Consider the following 19,575-nt stretch of genomic DNA (forward strand, 5'->3'; position numbering starts at 1 on the left):
GTATTTGGGAAAGCAGAGTATAAGGGCTAGGTATAGCTGGGTATAGAGGAAAAACAGCCTCATTGATAATCCTGAGATCTTGCACTAACCTCCACTGTCTTTTGGGTTTCTGTACTCCTAAAATTGGAGTATTGCAGGGGCTACTGTATGGTTTTACTAGGCCTTGGGCTTTTAGGTCCTTAACAATCTTTTGGAGTCTTTGTTGGGCCTCGGGTCTGAGGGGGTACTGCCTTTGATAGGGAAAGGAGGTGGAATCCTTTAGTTTAACTTGGACAAAATGGGCATTCTTTGCTTGTCCATATTGTCCTTCTGTTGCCCAGACTTCAGGACTAATTCCTTCCTCAAACAGGAGACGACAAATGGGTGTTCCTTCTCCTATGTTCAGGTGTATAATGGCCCCTGCTTTTACTAGAATCTCTCTCTCTAACAAGGGAGTGAGGCTTTCAGGCATAATTAGGAAAGCATGTGAAAAGGGTAAAGCTCCCCAGTCACAACTTAGTGGCTGGAAGAAGTATCTAGTGACTGGCTGTCCTAGGACCCCTCGGATAGTGACAGATCTGGAGGACAGTTGTCCGGGACAGGAGAGTAAGACTGAGAAGGCCGCACCGGCGTCCAGGAGACAGTTAACCTCTTGGCTCTCAATGGTCAAGCATACCTGGGGCTCTGTGAGGGTGATGGCATGGGCTGGCGCTTGCCCTGGGCACCCTCAGCCCTGCTGCTGGATCATCTGGTTAGTGTCTTCTGACTCAGAGGACCTTCATCCCCTGGGGCAGTGGGCCTTCCAGTGATTCCCTTGACATAAGGGGCATGGACAAGAGGGCGGCTTACTTCTACTTGGACAATCTTTTTTAAAGTGTCCTTGTAGACCGCACTGGAAGTAAGCCCTATTAGGCATTCGATTTGCCCAGCTTTTCCCTTTTACAGAGCCTCCAAAGTCCACTTGCCTGAGGGCCATGACTAAAGTGATGGCCTTTTTTTTATCCTGTTTGTCCTGTTCTGCCTGCTCCTCCTGATCTCTATTATAAAAAAGCGAGGTTGCCAAGTTCAATAGGGTTTCTAAGTTTTGCTCCAGGCCTAAGACAGACTTTTGAAGTTTTTTCCTAATGTCTGCAGCTGACTGAGTGATAAACTTATCCTTTAAGATTAGTTGGCCTTCACTAGAGTCAGGTGACAGGGAGGTATGCTTCCTCAATGCCTCCCTTAGTCTCTCCAGAAAGGCAGTAGGATTTTCTTCCTTTCCCTATGCTATAGTGTACATCATTGAATAATTCACAGCCTTCTTCCTAGTTTTCCTTAGTCCTTCTAGCACACACGTGAGCAAATGTCTGCGGCACCAATCTCCATGTTCTGATTCTGTGTGCCAGTGAGGGTCTACACTGGGGACTGCCTGCTGCCCTGTGGGGAATCATTCTCTTTCTTCTGTTGTCATCCTGTCATTGACCTGACTGAGATACCAGAGATCGCCAAACTCTCAGGCTGCAGTAATGGTGGCACTTTTTCATTTGGGGTTAGTGTCTGATTTAGCAGTAACATTATATCTCTCCATGTCAGATCAAAGGATTGTCCTAACCCTTGTAAAACATCAATATAGCCATCAGGGTTATCTGAGAATTTACCTAGGTCTATTTTAATTTGCTTTAAGTCTGAGAGAGAAAAAGTTACATGCACTCTGGCTGGGCTGAATTCTCCTCCTCCCGCTGCTTGGAGGGGGCATAATCGGGGAATATTGGCACTCTTTGGTTCATTGTTTACCCCTTTGTCTATCTCCTTTTGGACCATTTGGGCTGAAGAGGGGGTTCTTATTAGTTGGGGAAGGAGTCAGGGGGATGTTGGGGTAGGGAGGTAGATTCTGAGGGCTTCCTGTAGGGCATAAGTCATACTTTTTGCATAACTGCGAGTTGTCTCTTAATGAAAAGAAAGTTTGTACATATGGCACTTCACTCCATTTGCCTTCTTTTCTACAAAAGAGGTCTAGCTGTAAGATGGTGTTATAATTTATACTTCCCTCAGGAGGCCAGCTTTCTTCCCCTTGAAGAGAATATCACGGCCAGGCGGTACTGCAGAAGAATATAAGTCATTTCTTTCTTAGCGTCTGAGGGTCAAATTGGTCCTAATTCTCCAGAATACATCTTAGGGGCAATTTTGCCTTGGGGGGAACGTTTCCCATCTGAAAAAGGAACATAGGGATGCCAGCATCCCTAGTCATTTTCTGATGAGCATTAGTCCTAGAGTGTCCTCTGTGGTCCTAATGCTTATTCCTTTCCAGGGTGCGTAACCACCCATGGACCTCTGCTTATCGGATTAGTTACACTCACCGATGTAGCAGTCCTGCACCTGTTTTCCCGCCTTTCTTGACCACAAAGAAAGGGGTCCGGGCTGCTGGATTCTAGTGGTCCTTTACCAGCGTGCCCAACATTGCCTTTGCGCTCAGGAGTGAGTCCTAGAGCTGGGCTGGGTTCCTGAGTATTTCATAACAACCCAGCTGCCCCATCAAGATGCATTCCCATAAACAACAGTTTTTATGCAAATTCGTTTCAGAGAGGGTGTAGCGAACCTTTTGAGTCAGGATTGAGATAGTCTTTTGATTCTGTAAGTACTTTAAGGCTTGGCTGAGTGCAAACAGCTCGCACATTTGAGGAGACCAATTATTAGGCAATTTTTCTAACTCTGCTTCCACAAGAGTCTCCGTATCAATTACTGAATACCCATTGTGTTTTTTACCTCAATCACCTGGGAGGAACCATCTATCATCCTGTCCTGAAGGAAGATCCTCCTAGGTCTGGTCGGACCTTTGTATGGTAATTAAGATGTAAATCCCCTGTTAGAAAATCTGCTGGGTTAAGGGAATTATCAGCGGTTGGAGTTACATTACTTTTTTCTAACATAATGGCCCCATACTTTAAGATTTTTGAGTTAGTAAGCTACCTCTTTGCTTTTTTGACTTAGACTAATTCTGAACTGGTGAGGTGTGCTCACAGCGAAGTTTCCTCTAAAAGTTACTTTTCTACTTTTAGCAAAGCAGTTGCCGCTACCAACTGAATGCATTTGGCTCATCCGTGGGTTACTGGGTTAAGGATTTTAGACAGGAAGGCTATGGGTTGTCAGTGGCCTCAGTGCTTTCGGGCTACGCCCTTATTTACACTGACAACAAAGTGGCATTGGAGTGTTATAGGTTCATAGAGAAGATCTTCAATTATCAATTATGGGTTTCAAATTTACCCTGGCTTTTAAAGGAATAGGGCACACTTTTTTTTTTTTAACTATTTCTTTTTCTTTCTTTTACTCTTTGACTTCCTTGGAATCCGTGAGGCCAAGAACCTGCCTCTCTGTCTCTCTCTCTCTCTTCATCTCTCTCTCTCTCTCTCCATCTCTCTCTCTCCGTGTCTCTCTCTTAGCCATTACAAACTTGGGGCCCTGGCAAGGGTGGTGGGGAATGGGTCCTGCATAACTGCTCATGTCAAGAGCTGTATACCTAAATTAGGAGGGACGCCAGGGATAAGACTCCCTGGGCTATAGCCTAGGTGCCTGAGGACGCAGCGTAGGGCTTCCTTAGATCCCTTTGGAGATACAACCTGCTAGAGGAAATGAAAGTCTGAACCATTAGTACCTAGGAGGCAGGGATCAGAGGAAGTAGATTCAGAGGTAAGGAGAATTTTGGGGCTATACTTTCAAGAAAGTCGTGTTCGGGACCCAGGAGGTATGGGTCAGAAGGAAAGGTAAGGGCGCATGCGTGGGCGACTGTTGAGTAGAGACTTCTGGCTGAGCCATGATCTCAATCAGCTACTGCTGGGAGGTTGGGACGACAGCTTTCTGCCTCTAGTTGGCCCTTGGTTTCCCCAAGAAAATTGAAAGTGGAAGCTGGCTCCAGGCAGACCAATGTCCCCAACAACCCCAGAAGGGTTGGGGGTTGTTAGAAAGCCCTTCCCCAGATAGCCTCACACCTGAGTCTTAAGTCAGGCGGCCACGCTAATCGTTTTTAACTGGCCGACAGGTGTCCGGTATTTTCCTCCACCTCTAAGGAAGGCTAGGACAGTATAGCAAGCGAAAGTGGTCCAATATTACTCACTGCTTTGGATGTCCCTTCGTGGTTGCCAAAATGTTACGGGGGGTGGGGGGTCCTTGCTCCCAGAGCTCCCAAGATGGTGGTGAGCCACTTCCAAGATGGCGGCAAGCCTCGTGTTCTCTGACCTGGGGTTCTTGGCCTCACGAATTCCAAGGAATGGAATCTTGGGCCATGCGGTGAGTGTTATAGCTCTATTAGAAGCTGTGGGTCATGGGAGAGAACCATGGAAGCCAGTGACTAGTGTTTAGCTCGATTAGGATGAACCCAGGCACTTAGCCATGCAGGAACAATGGCGAGCCTTTAGCCTGATTGGAAGTGGCAATGGGCGCCTCACTGGATCAGGAGCACAGCAGATACTCTGCCGGATCTGGAGGAATGGAAGTCAGCGGCGGGTCTGCGATGGTGGCAAACAGCAGTGGTGGACGGTGAGTGAAAGCTCAGCTCGAGCCGTAACAAACACGGACCAGAAGAGTGCAGTTGCAAGATTTAATAGAGTGAAATAGAGTGAAAACAGAGCTCCCATACAAAGGGAGGGGTCCCAAAGGGGGTTGCTCCCATCCCTCTTTTTCTATCTCTACTTTTTCTCAATTATCTTCAGCTCAAAATAATTTATATGCCAAAATGGCTTATTTTGGGGTGGCATATCCTAATCCCTTTCAGCATAGAGGTTTATTTTTTTGAATCAATAACTGAGGAATAATTATTCTTACTAAAACCCAATAATTCAACTCAGAAGGGTCTTCCAAAGAAGGTGGTCTCCCAGCATGCTCTGGGTTCTGTTTGCTTGCTGATGGAACACAGTTAACAGTTAACACAGCTCACGGGACTCCTGATGCTTGCGTGCTGTGAATAATAAGACACTTTCGGAATGGGGGCTCAGCACACTGTCAGGGCTCTCAGAGTTTGCCATTGTTATCATTATTATTATTAGCTATCATTGTTTTTATTGCCTACTATTACAATTTCTAACATGCCTCTATTCGCCCTTCAAGTGAGTAAAACATTCCTCAGGACTTGCCTGGCAAAAGCACCTTGGAGAAATTCAGGCTGCTGGTGAGGGTCTAGGGCTGACCCCAGCATGCCCTAAGGAAGGTCAGCCCAAGGGCAGGCACTTGGCTTGGTTAGTTGCTTTCTCCTGCCTAGGCTAAGTGTTAAGTGCTCTCTGAATAGCCACTGCATAAAATTAGTGGATAACACAACTAACCTGGTGAATTAGTCTGTTTTCACGCTGCTGAAGTCATACCCGAGACCGGGAAGAAAGAGTTTTAATGAACTCACAGCTCCATGTGGCTGGGGAGGCCTCACAATCATGGCCGAAGGTGAAAGGCACTTCTTACATGGCAGCAGCAAGAGCGAATCAGAGAGCCAAGCAAAAGGGATTTCCCCTTATAAAACCATCAGAACTCATGAGACTTATTCACTACCAGAGAACAGTATGGGGAAACTGCCGCCATGATTCAGTTATCTCCCACCAAGTCCCTCCCACAACAGGTGGGAATTATGGGAGGACAATTCAAGATGAGATTTGGGTGGGGTCACAGCCAAACCATATCACCTGGCCACATGGCCTGGGGGGTTCCAGGAACCTGGAAGTGGACTTAACTGTAATACCAAAGAAGAAGCTCCTCTGCCAACACTGACTTAGCAGAACTGTTTAATGAATTAATTACTTAGGAATGACGGGAGTTACCTCCAAGTTAATAAGGATGATGAAAATTCATTATTTACACAAGGAAACCCACAGAACCAGGCAAGAGACCACCTAAAATTTTGTTCACCTAAAATTCTAGAGTTCTTTGAGCAAACCAAATGAGTGGTTGTATCATTTTAAATTAACAGGAATAGATAGGAAGTCTAGGTCATTAACATAATTTGTGCTCTCAGTTCATTTTTCAAGTGGGCTTCCTATTGCATTTTTCTTCTGATTCAGTTGAGCTAGGGTGACAACTCCTAAATGTGTGATATTTTCAGCTAAGTGCTAGTGTCCAAGGACAAGGCAACTCTGGAAAGAAAATGGTTTAAGTGAGCAGTAGCCAGAGAAACAGAGTGCACATGAAAAACTCTGGCAAAAAAAAAAACAACCGATTCCTGTTAAAAATGGCTTTTAACACTGAAGCACTGAAGGATTAAATGTTCATAATTTAGAATTGATGATTATACCAGATTTTCAGATATGGCCATTTTCTGTGGAGGGAGAAACACTACTCTCTGTCAGTTTTGACTGCTACAACAGAATACTAGAAGCAGGGTGGGTTAAATAGCAGACATTCATTTCTCACAGTTCCAGAAGCTAGAAGTCCAAGGTTAAGGTGCCAGCAGAGTCAGCGTCTTGGTGAGGGCTCTCTTCCTGGCTTGCAGGTGGCTTCCTTTTTGCTGTGTCTTCACATGACTTTTCCTTGAAGTGTGCAAGTGAAGAGAAAACAAGATCTTTTTTTTTTTTTTTTTTTTTTTTTTTGAGACAGCGTCTCTCTCTGTCACCCAGGCTGGAGTGCAGTGGCGCAATCTCGGCTCACTGCAACCTCCACCTCCTGGGTTCAAACAATTCTCCTGCCTCAGCCACTGGAGTAGCTGGGACTACAGGCACGTGCCATCACATCCGGCTAATTTTTGTGTTATTAGTAGAGACAGGGTTTCACCATATTGGCCAGGCTGGTCTGGAACTCCTGACCTCATGATCTGCCCACTTTGGCCTCTCAAGAGAACGAGATCTTATAAGGACCTGAGTCCCATCACGAGGGCTCCATTTTGAGGACCTTATGACCTTTCAAAGGCTTCATCTCTAAATACCATGACATTGGGAGTGAGGGCTTCAACATAGCAATTTCGGGGGAACACAATTCCGTTTATAGAAGCTAGAAAATAATGTGCTAGTTGTGGAAAGGAATGATTTTCACACTATAATTTTTTTATTTTAATGGAGTGGTTGTGGTCAACTGAAGTTCCACCAGAAAACAGCCAGTGAGGTTAGAAGTAAGCCTCAGCACTCACTGAATTGTGACGTGCAGCTGAAGTCATCCTGAGAAAGTTGCATTGGATGACAAAAAGGATACAAATGAGACAAGTGTCTGGTTATTGTATAACACACACAAAAATTAACTTTTCTGCTATCTTCTTAGGTTCAGCACCAGGCGCCTGTGGAAGAAACATAAAAGACAAATTAACGGGAGAAAAAAAATGTTTATGCCTTATGCATATGGGAGCCAACAAAGGAAGTAGCTGGCTCATTAATAGAGTTAAAGAGTTAAAAGGCTTATATATCTAACGTTGTAGGGGAGGAGAAGGGGGGAGAAAGGCTTCCTATAGAAAGAACAAATAGGTTTCTTTTGGAAAGACAAATAGGTTTTTTTTTTTTTTTTTGAAACAGAATCTCGCCATGTCACCCAGGCTGGAGTGCAGTGGCACGATCTCCACTCACTGCAACCTCCGCCTCCTGGGCTCAAGTGATTCTCCTGCCTCAGCCTCCCGAGTAGCTGGAATTACAGGTCCACATCACCACGCCCGGCTAATTATTGTATTTTTAGTAGAGACAGAATTTCGCCATGTTGGCCAGGCTGGTCTCGTACTCCTGACCTCAGGTGATCTGCCCGCCTTGGCCTCCCAAAGTGCTGGGATTACAGGCATGAGCCACCGTGCCCAGCCGGTCTCAATCAATTTAGAAAGCTTATTTTGCCAAGGTTAAGGACGCACCTATGACACAGCCTCAGGAGGCCCTGAAAACATGTGCCCAAAGTGGTCAGGGCACAGCCTGGTTTTATACATTTTGTGGAGGCATGAGACATCAATCAATAAGTGTAATGTGTACATTGGTTTGGTCTGGAAAGGTGGGACAATTCCAAGTGGGGGCTTCCAAGTTGTAGGTAGACAAGAGACACAAGGTTGATCAGCCTCTCACTGAATACACAATTTACATGTGAGAGAGGGGTAGAGGAATAGGCAGTTATGCCTTGTCTGACTCAATGAATCTGTATTTTTACTAAGCAATACGGCAGAGAAAGCAATCAGATACACATTTGTCTCAGGTAAGCAGAGAGATGACTTTGAGTTCTGGCCTTTGCTCCGCACCTGTGAAGATCAGCTACAATTTACATTGCCAGGGTGAAATTCAACGGAACTGTTTTTAAGGTAAAGATCTTGAGGCCCACAAGGGAATTTTTCTCATGGGCAAATTGTGAAGGAGGTATGCAGCTTTTTCATCTTTATAGCTATCTTATTTAGGAATAAAATGGGAGGCAGGTCTGCCTGATACAGTTCCCAGCTTGACTTTCTCCCTTTGGCTTAGTGATTTTGGGGTCCCGTGATTTATTTTCCTTTCACACCTTCAACTGGAAGGAAGAGCATTCTTCGCCTCCCCTGGCCCCATTTACTTGCTTCTTGGTCTTTAAATATGTTAGCTATATCTTCCATTGGTGCCTATTACATGCAGAAATCCTTGATTCTGAGTTCCCTGACAAGATTATCAAAAAGGACCATTAAAAAAGCAGACCTTTCACTGGGTGTGGTGGCTCCCACCTGTAATCCCGGCACTTTGGAAGGCTGAGGCTGGAGGACTGCTTGAGCCTAGGAGTTCAAGGTTGCAGTGACCTATGATCGTGCCACTGCACTCCAGCCTGGGTAACAGAGCAAGACACTGTCTCCAGAAAAAAAAAAAAAAAAGCAGTTCAGTATGGTGCTGAACATCAGGTTCTTGGGACACAGTCTTCCAGAACTGTCACAGTGCTCTGCAAAGCCACGTTCCTGTGTTCATCTCCTAGCACTTGAGGGTGGGGGGTTGGAGCTCTGCCCTATCCACCAGTCCTCCAGCAAATGCCATGGAAGCCACACTTACTCCTAATGGCTGTCTCATCCAGAGGACGCACCCTCGGGACTTTTTTCTTTCTTAAGAGGATTTGTTCTTGTGGATGTCAAGGTGCCTGGCTGGGAGAAGGAGCCAGTTCCACCAGCCGCTGGGCCTTTGCTGGAGGCAAGGTCAGTCAGCCAGGCAGCATGTTTTGGGCAGGAAGGATCTGTCAGCCTCCAGCTGGTGGAAGAGGACCAGGGCGGGAGCTGAGCAGTGCCTTGACTCCGAAGGACTTGGAAGAGGAGGGAGAGGGAGTGGAGGCCGGAGTGGAGAGGATAGACTGGCCCTGAGGCCTCTGCGTTCCCAGCCCGGGGCCTGGACTTCCTGTGTTTGGCTGCTGTTTGGAGCTTGGTGATGATTAATGAGGAAATACGCACTCTGAAGAGCTTATACCTCCCTGGACTGTGAGGCCACATCTGCATTTATAACACAGTCTGTGATGTGACAGAGCCATTTCTTGAGGAACTTTGGTTCTGGTGAGGCAGCATCAGGACTCTCTAGAGGCCAGACAAGAGTGTGTTTCTACATTTGTATGGAGAGAGGACAAGAGCCACGAAGAGGCCTTTAGGAAATGAAGCACCCTTGCTGAAGCCCTCCAAAGGGTTTACCTGTCATCTGGGGTAAGACAACTCCAGTTTGTGGCTCCCCTGTGACAGGTGTTTGTCAAGTGAGTTTCTCCATAGGGCCCCTCAAGCCCCGCACAGGCCGTTATCTGGGTTTCCCAGGAAAGTTCTGGACATTTGCACACATGATCTTCGCTTTCCAACTTCCACAGAGTTAAAAACTACAAGCGTGGGCTTCTCTGAGAAGTTCAGAATTTCTGGATGGTTTCTACTCAGTGAGTGTCGCTTTCACAGTGAACTGTTCTTGGGATGGGTTGAAAGCTGAGACTTGGCTGAAATTTGATGGGCTGGGGGGGGTGGGGTCAGGATTCAATTAATAGAAAGTTTTTAAAAAAACTTTTACCGACTTCGAGGGTACAAATGCAGTTTTGTTACATGGAGATATTGTGCAGTGGGGAAGTCTGGGCTTTTGGAAAGGACTGACTCATGACGTCTGCCATTCATTGGACAAGCTTGTAAATGCCTTTTCCACCCTCTAATGAGAAGCCTTAGGGAAAGTAGAATTCTCCCAAAGTCTCTGGAGGTTCTGAGAAGGCCGACCCTGAATGCAAGATGCTCAGAGCTGGAGTCTTCCGAGTGCAGGAGAAATGCCAGCACCTTTTTATTGAGCCGTGGCGGTGTCCAGGTTGCTCCTTAGTCCCTTGCGTGGTTTTTGTTACAGCTATTTCTTTCTTCTTTTTTTCTTTACTTTTAAAAAATTTCAATAGTTTTTGGGGTACTGGTGGTTTTTGGTTACATGAATAAGTTCTTAAATGGTGATTTCTGAGACGTTAGTGCACCTGTCACCCGAGCAGTGTACACTGTGCCTAATATGTAGTCTTTTATCCCTCACCCCGTTCCTCCCTGAGTCCCCAAAGTCCATTGTGTCATTCTTGTGCCTTTGCATCCTCATAGCTTAGCTCCCACTTATAAGTGAGAACATATGATGTTTGGTTTTCCATTCCTGAGTTACTTCACTTAGAATAATGGCCTCCAGCTCCATCCAAGGTGCTGCAAAATATGTTATTTTATTCCTTTTTTTTTATGACTAAGTAGTAGTCCATGGTGTATATATACCGCATTTTCTTTATCTACTCATTGGCTGCTGGGCATTTAGGTTGGTTTCATATTGTTGCAATTGCAATTGTGCTGCTATAAACATGCATGTGCAAGCGTCTTTTTCATGTAACGACTTCTTTTCCTTTGGGTAGATACCCAGTAATGGGATTGCTGGATCAGATGGTAGTTTTACTTTTAGTTCTTTAAGGAACCTCCTACTGTTTTTCATAGTGGTTGTATAATTTACATTCCCAGCAGTGTAAAAGTATTCCCTTTCACCACATCCACACCAACATTTATGGCTTTGTCTTTTATGATAATTCTTGCAGGAGTAAGGCAGCATCTCATTGTGGTTTTAACTTGCACTTCCCTGATTAGTGATGTTGAGTATTTTTCATATGTTTGTTGGCTGTTTGTATATCTTCTTTTGAGAATTGTCTATTCATGTTCTTTGCCCACTTTTTGATAGACTTATTCTTTTTTTTTTCTTGCTGATTTGTTTTAGTTCCTTGTAGATTCTGGATACTAGTCCTTTGTTGGAGGCATAGTTTGCAAATATTTCCCCCCACTCTGTGGGTTGTGTGTTTACTCTGCTGATTACTTCTTTTGCTGTGCAGAAGCTTTTTAGTTTAACTAGGTCCTATTTATTTAGTTTTTGCATTTGCTTTTGAGGTCTTAGTCATTAATTCTTTGCCTAAGCTAATGTCCAGGCATTTTTTCTGATGCCATTTTCTAGAATTCTTAGAGTTTTGGATCATAGATTTAAGTCTTTCATCTATCTTGAGTTAGTTTTTGTATAAGGTGAGAGATGGGGATCCAGTTTCATTCTTCTATGTGTGGCTTGCCAATTACCCCAGGATCATTTATTTAATAGGGTGTCCTCTCCTCAATTTATTTTTTTTGTATGCTCGGTTGAAGATCAGTTGGCTGTAAGTATTTGGCTTTATTTCTGAGTTCTCTATTTTGTTCCATTAGTCTATGTGCCTATTTTTATACCAGTACCAAGCTGTTTTGGTAAGTATAGCCTTGTAGTATAATTTGAAGTCAGGTAATGTGAAGCCTCCAGATTTATACTCTACAGTTGTTGGGAAGAATGTTCTGTAAATATCTGTAAGTTCCATTTGTTCTAGGGTATAGTTTATGTCCATTGTTTCTTTGTTGACTTTCTGCCTTGATGATCTGTCTAGTGTTATCACTGGGGTATTGAAGTCCCCCACTATTATTGTGTTGCTGTCTGTCTAATATTGTAGGTCTAGTAGTAATTGTTTTTAAAATCTGGGTGCTCCATTGTTAGGTGCATATAAATTTAGGATTGTAATATCTTCTTGTTGGATTAATTCTTTTATCACTATATAATGCCCTTCTTTGTCTTTTTTTTTTTAACTGTTGTTGCTTTAAAGTCTGTTTTGTCTGAAATAAGAATAGCTACTTTTGCTTGCTTTTGGTTTCCATTTGTGTGAAATATCTTTCTCCAACCTTTCACCTTGAGTTTATGTGAGTGCTTAGGTGTTAGCTGAATCTCTTGAAGACAGTAGATATTTGGTTGGTGTTTTTTTGTTTTTTTTTAGTCCATTCTGCCATTTTTAATCTTTTAAGTGGAACATTTAGGCCATTTACATTAGGTCAATATTAAGATGTGAGGTACTGTTGTATTCATCATGTTAGTTGTTACCTAGATACTTCTATTTTTAATTGTGTTATTGTTTTATAGACCCTGTGAGATTTATGCTTTAAGCAGGTTCTATTTGGGTGCATATCAAACTTCTGTTTCAAGATTTAGAACTCCTTTTAGCATTTCTTGTAGTGCTGGTTTGGTAGTGGCAAATGCCTTTAGCATTTTTTGTCTGAAAAAGACTTTATCTCTCATTTATGAAGCTTAGTTTTGCTGGGTATAAGATTCTTGACTGACAATCATTTTGTTTAAAGAGGCTAAAGATAGGACTTCAATCCCTTCTGGCTTATAAGGCTTCTGCTGAGGAATCTGTATGGCTATTTCCCACCAACCTTGAGCAGGCACTTGCCCCCTGTTGTTTGTTTTTGAGCTTCTTGCCGTTGCCCCAAACATGACATTTTCTGCCACTTTTGAAGATTCCATTATCAAGCCATTTCCAATAATCCAAAAATAAGGGGCTGAGTGCGATCTCAAAAGCACCAATTTTCTTTCTGAGAGGACTAGCTTGGTGAGTCCTGGCTGATCTTCTGAGTGTGTTTGCCTCTCGTCAGGACAGGGAGGAATTGGTGGGTGGCTAAATCCTGTCTATTTAATACAGTTTAATAAGACTAAAGACTTTAAGAATAAAAGATTTTTCAACTAAGTGTAGGTAATTCAAGTCTGCTATAATGAAATGAAAGACAAGTTAAATCTCAAGTCCTGTTCAGACTACCCCATAGGGATATTCATGAACAATACCCGGCATATGTCTTTAATTAAAGCAGCTTGTCTGATTTCAGTTAAACTTGAAATCAGCTTTATGACAGTGTTCCAACTGCATACACCCTTCAAATGCTATCCCCTCTCAAATCCATATCTGTAGCAGCCTCACTGCTTGGTTCCTGGAGCTCTGAGGGTGTTTTTGCACTGCCTGCCCTGTGATTCTGCTAGACTCCTCTTTCATACAGAGATGAAATGTGGATGACATGTGAGGGTGTTGGCAGAATGGAGTGTTGAGTAAGTTAAGCAATCTATTCTTAGTCTGTTGCCTGACTCTACCTGCTTGTCGGGGACTAGAAGTCTTTCCTAACAGACCTTAATCTATTGCTGTGTCGTTTTCTGTAACACTGGGTTCACACTTGGCAGTGACTGCTTTTGGTAAAATATGTAATTTTTTATAACTGGACGACTCAATTTCTCCTTCATCCTCTGCTAGAGCCTGACATTCCAGATGACTACTTGTGGAGTTGTGTTAATCGAACCTTAAAAATTATTAAATGATGACCTGGTGCGGTGGCTCATGCCTGTAATCCCAGCACTTTGGGAGGCTGAGGCGGGCGGATCACAAGGTCAGGAGATCGAGACCATCCTGGCTAACACGGTGAAACCCTGTCTCTACTGAAAATACAAAAAAATTAGCCGAGCATGGTGGCAGGTGCCTGTAGTCCCAGCTACTCAGGAGGCTGAGGCAGGAGAATGGCATGAACCTGGGAGGTGGAGCTTGCAGTGAGCCAAGATCGCACCATTGCACTCCAGACTGGGTGACAGAGCGAGACTCCATCTCAAAAAAAAAAAAAAAAATTAGTAAATGATTTATTTGACACTTCATAATTCTGGATTTTGGATCAATCTGGGAAGGCTGTGATTTCATTTTGGTTTGTGCACAGCTGTTGTACAACTTGCTACTGAGGCATATGTGTAGGGATTTGCTGAGTCTATTGTAGATTATTGCAAGGGGCTGGGTCCCACAGTGAAATGGTGCTGCAGCACAGGTATTTCAAACCTTATATTAAATTACGGGCTGGGAGTGGTGGCTCATGCCTGTAATCTCAGCACTTTGGGAGGCCAAAGCAGGCGGATCACCTGAGGTCAGGAGTTTGAGACCAGCCTGGCCAACATGGTGAAACTCCATCTCTACTAAAAATACAAAAAAAATTAGCCAGGCGTACTTCCAGCTACTTGGGAGGCTGAGGCAGGAGAGTTGCTTGAACCTGGGAGGCGGAGGTTGCAGTGAGCCGAGATCGTGCCATTGCACTCCAGCCTGGGCAACAGAGCGGGACTCGGTCTCAAACAAACAAACAAACAAACAAACAAACAAACGAAAGAATTACAGACACAAGTAGTTATAGTTTAGTGCACACGTTGAATTTTGCTTTCTAAAGACCTCAGAGAAACAAAGGGGTGGAAACCCCACATTCTTTCTCGAGGCTGTGAATACCCAGTAATGCACTTAAATGCTAAATGCAGGTCATGGGCCTGAGAATCTTTGCTGTCTTTCACGCTGACACTGTGGGTTTCATTCAGTAACTTGGATGAGATGTCCGCAGATCAAGGTGTGGTAGTTGTTTTCCCATCACAGTTTCAATTCTTGTATTTTTGCTTCTGGGTTGGCTGTGGGGTCTGCCTTCTAGGGCCTGTCAGAAAAGAAAGGAGACTGGAGCCCTGGATGTGCGTTGTCAGCACATTATAAAGTCTCTCCTCAAAGTCCCTGATGGGACCTGTCACCTCATATTCTGGAGGGACGGGTGGACGAGACTCGCAGGGCTGTGGAATGTGTGTAGATGCCAAAGCTGAAATGAGAACCGTCCGGGTCACTGGACTCCACTCATTGGTGCTGTGGAGGAATGTTTGCAATAAAGAGACCCTTTCCTGAGGCTAAGGAGTGTTGTTTTGCGGGTGGTTCATGACATGTTCAGCACATAGGTGATCTAACCCTGAATCTTCCAGGAGGATACATCAGTACTGGGGAGTGTCTTGGATAAGCCTCTCCTAGGGGAGAGAAAAAAGCAAAAAGGAAAAAATGCAAGGGTGGAGGGTGACCAAGAGGGCATCAAAGAACAAAGGGGGTTGGAAGGAAGGAACAAGAGGTATACATGGCAGAATCCTTATGTGCTGTCAATGGTCTGGCCAGGCTTTACCCCATCTATCCTGGCCTCCCTGAACTCTGACCTCACTCCTTCCACCCACCCCTGTCTGCCACAGAGCCTTCTCTGCAGTTCATCAAGCACAGCAGGCACAGTCCCCCCGAGAGCCTTAGTACCTGCTCTTTCCTCTGCTGGGAAAGTTCTTCCTGCAGGTGTCCAATGCGGCGGCTGTTGTCTCACCTCATTCGCTGTGCATGGTGCACCTTCCCGGGGGCTTTTCTCTGACTACCCTGTTTGAAGTGGTAGCTGGTCCCCCTCCTTGCCCTGTTTCTCCCCACACCTATTGCCACCTTCTAATAGGCCATATCATCTATTTATTCATTCGGTTGCCTTTCCTTTTGAGAATGTGAGCTCATGAGGGCAGGAGTTTTTTCTCAGTGATTAGTGATTGAAACGAATGTAATAAGCCCATGATCTGCATTTGGTCAGGCATTCAGAGGTGAGGCTACACCATCTGCATCCCTTCATGATGCAGGTGGGCTGGCGGGTGGTGTAAGACGATTTCAACCAGTGATTCTCAAATTTGACCAGGCACCAGAATCACCTGGAGGGCTTCTTTAAATCCAAAATTCTGGGCCCACACCAGGGGTTTCTGTTTCAGGAGGTCTGAGGTGGACTCAGAAATGTGCATTCTTTTTTTTTTTTTTTTTTTAAGAGTCTCGCTCTGTCACCCAGGTTGGAGTGCAATGACGTGATCTCTGCTCACTGCAACCTGCGCCTCCCGGGTTCAAGCGATTCTCCTGCCTCAGCCTCCTGAGTACCTGGGATTACAGGTGCATACCACCACACCTGGCTAATTTTTGTATTTTCCATAGAGATGGGGTTTCGCCATGTTGGCCAGGCTGATCTCGAACTCCTGACCTCAAACGATCCACCTGCCTTGGCCTCCCAAAGTGTTGGAATTACAGGCGTGAGCCACCGCGCCCAGACTGTGCTTTCTAACACTTCCCAGATGAGGCTGCCCCTGTCCACACTGAGATGCGCTGATCCAATGTGTCCACGGGCACACACCAGCTGCGGGGGGTGGAGGTGGCGGTGGGCACAGAAGACTTCTGAACGGTAGATGCTTGTCAGTGATGGGTTGTTGCCTGCTTGCTTTATTTTCCCGGGGCCAGGAAGAACATATGGAGGTGCAGGGCTGAGGGAAAGCTGTCCTGACTGTGCTGGTCGTCCTGGCACGTAGGGATCGCCTGAGCTTGGTGGGCTGTTCACCAACGTCCACTTGGAGTGTAGGGGGAAGACAAGGGCCACAGGAGGCCGCTGGAACACACAACTGCCAGAAGGGTCTTTCTCAGCCTCTTCCCACTGCATCCCTTCCCATGGTGACCTCTTCTGTGGGGCCCATTTCCTCCTGCATTGACTCGACTCCCAGAACGGTCCTTCAGGTGCAGGGGATCTCCCCCATCCTCACCAGGGCCATCACTGTCCTGGGAGTCTGCATTAGGTTCCTTCCCACAAGTTGTTGCACCTGCTGAAATGTCCCTTCCCCTCCCTCGTTTCTCACCTCTTCAATTTCTATCTGGGCTTCGAGGAAGACCTGACTCAGAAATCACCTCCTCCCTGAAGCCTCCTAACCCTTGCCATTTTCAGGGCGAGAATCTCAGTTTCCATTTACTGACAGGGTAAGGGTTCTGTTGTGTGTGACACTTCCTCTTCCTCACCACCCCAGCGCTCTCCAACGGTGTCAGCTGGAGTGAACTCCTGTGTGTGCAAGGCCTGGGTCTCCTGGTCAGACTACTTTCTATGGGAAAGGCATAGTGTATAGTCTATATACTATACATAGGGGTGCTGGGAGGAACTGGGGTTTTCACAGCCAGCTTTGGTTTTCATTAGGTTTGTTTAGTTTCCATTGCTTCAGGGGTGTTAGTTTTGTGTTCCCAACTAGATTATAAACTCCTCTTGCATTCCTGATGGCAGTGACTTGAAGGCATTTATTTGAAGAATAATAGACATACAGAAAGGGGCGCATGTCATAAAGGTACAGCTGGACGACTTTTCACAAAGTGAGCACATTTGTATGATCGATGTTGAGACCAAGAGCATTCAGTGGACAACTCCTTTCCAGTTACTCCACCCCACTCCCAGTGACCATCATTCTGACTTCTAACTGTGTAGACATGTTTTGCTTGTTTTGTACTTTACAAACATATCTACTCTATTTTAGGTGGCTAGACAATGTGTTTTACAATGCTGGCCATGACAGTGTTTGAAAGAATAAAATGGAATCAAATAGAATGGGCAGTATCAGAGTGTGTTGCCTGCCTAAGAAATGTTTTGTGACATTTTGGCTTTGGGTCTATTTACACATTAAATCTAAGAGCACCAGAATGTGGTGTCAAAATGTGTTTGGGGATGAAGATATTCTAAAGTCCTGTAGTAAGCAATGCAAAACGTTCTGGAGGTGTTTATTAAACATTTGTTTGTAGAATGGAGAGGAAGACAAGGTCCCTGCTTGTGTAGAGCTTAGGGACTGACTGTAGGGTTAACAAACCACCCTTAATGTACATCTTAGGCATATGGCACTGTATGGGCCTATTTCAGCCGTGGTTACAAAAAACTCTTCTAAAGGTTTGGTGGGCAGTGGATGAACTCTGGGTCTAGTGTTTCTGAGATACTTTTTCCTGAAAAAGCTGAGGCAGGCTGGGTGTGGTGGCTCACGCCTGTAATCCCAGCACTATGGGAGGCTGAGGCAGGCAGATCATGAGGTCAGGAGATTGAGACCATCCTGGCTAACATGGCGAAACCCTATCTCTACTAAAAAATACAAAAAATTAGCAGGGTGTGGTGGCACGCAACTGTAGTCCCAGCTACTCGGGAGGCTGAGGCAGGAGAATTGCTTGGACCCAGGAGGCAGAGGTTACAGTGAGCCGAGATTGTGACACTGCCCTCCAGCTTGGGTGACAGAGCAAGACTCCGTCTCAAAAAAAAAAAAAAAAAAGCTGAGGCATACGTGCTGTCTTGAGGGTATGGAGGATCTGGGTTGAGGCCTGGAGGTGGCTATTTCAGGAGAGGAGAGTATATATGGGCTAATTCTAGAGCTCCTGAGGGTCCATCCCAAAATTTGTAATGAATGCAAATTTGTAATGAATACCAAAGCGTTCAAATGCTTCATGTTGGAAAGTCTTATGGGTGGAGTCATTTTCATTTGTAGATATGGCTCTGAATATCCATTATCAACCTGTGTGTGCACCCATAAGTCTCTTCCCAGACCTCTCCTTGCCACCATTCCTACTGTATAATGGGTTATATAGAACTCAGCCACCATGTTTATTCACTCAGTACATATTCACTGAGTAGTTGTTATGGATCACTTCTTTGTAGGCACTGGGATGTAAGATTGAGCAAAACCAGGCATTGTTCTTGTTGACATAGAACTTAGAGCCCAGTAGGGAAAACAGGCATTAATTGTGAGCAAAAGTAAATACAAAACAACTACTGTGACAATTGTAACCCCCGAACAATCAGGCCAGGGGTTAGAGACTGCATTGCAGGCCGGTCACTGCACATGTGAGAGCCCTGAGGCCAGAAAGAGTTGATGAGGTTGATAAATTAAAGGAGGTCTGGTGATCGGAGGGTGAAGTTTGGGAAAAATTGTAGCTGGAGAGAGAGTTGATGTGGGACTAAGTCAGGTCTTTTTTTTTTTTAGACGGAGTCTCACTCTGTCGTCAGGCTGGAGTTCAGTGACGTGATCTCGGCTCACTGCAACCTCCGCCTCACATGTTAAAGCGATTCTCCTGCTTCAGCCTCCCGAGTAGCTGGGACTACAAATGCATGCCACCACGCCCAGCTAATTTTTTGTATTTTGAGTAGAGACGGGGTTTCACTATGTTGGCCAGGATGGTCTCGATCTCTTGACCTCATGATCCGCCCACCTCGGCCTACCAAAGTGCTGGGATTACAGGCATGAGCCACCTTACCTGGCTGTCAAGTCTTAAAATATGATAATGTTAAGGATTATCTGTTTTTATCCTAAATGATGGAAATCTTTCAAACAAAGTCTGGGCAATCCTTAGCAAAAAGAGCAAAGCTGGAAGCATCACATTACCCAACTTCAGCCTATACAACAAGGCTACAGTAATCAAAACAGCATGACACTGGTACAAAAACAGACACATAGACCAATGGAACAGAATAGAGAACCCTAAAATAAACCCATACACCTACAACCATCTGACCTTTGACAAAATCAACAAAAGTAAACAATGGGGAAAGAACTGCCTATTCAATAAATGGTGCTGGGATAACCAGCTAGCCAAATGCAGAAGAATAAAACTAGGCCCTTACCTCTCACCATTCAAAAATTAACTCAAGATGGACTAAAGATTTAAATGTAAAACTTCAAACTATGAAAATCCTAGAAGAAAACCTAGGAATTATCCTTCTTGACATTGGCTTTGGCGAAAAATTTATGGCTAAGTCTCCAAAAGCAATTGCAACAA

General features: G+C 45.0%; 1 protein-coding gene across 2 annotated transcripts in view; it reads left to right on the plus strand.

Annotated features, from left to right (window-relative positions):
• Positions 1-19,575, plus strand: part of IGSF5 (immunoglobulin superfamily member 5) — a 90,311-nt gene that overhangs the window by 30,040 nt on the left and 40,696 nt on the right. Inside the window, exons 1-2 of one of the 2 annotated variants that reach the window (NM_001080444.2) lie at positions 3,373-3,716; positions 4,406-4,488. The exons of the other annotated variant lie outside the window; for it this stretch is intronic. Coding sequence (NP_001073913.1) covers positions 3,700-3,716; positions 4,406-4,488 — 100 coding nt within the window. The 5' untranslated portion in view covers positions 3,373-3,699. Of the gene's footprint in view, positions 1-3,372; positions 3,717-4,405; positions 4,489-19,575 lie in introns of those variants that run through there. 2 annotated transcript variants of the gene reach the window in all.

The sequence above is a fragment of the Homo sapiens genome, chromosome 21 (genome assembly GCF_000001405.40).
Source record: "Homo sapiens chromosome 21, GRCh38.p14 Primary Assembly".
Taxonomy (NCBI): domain Eukaryota; kingdom Metazoa; phylum Chordata; class Mammalia; order Primates; family Hominidae; genus Homo; species Homo sapiens.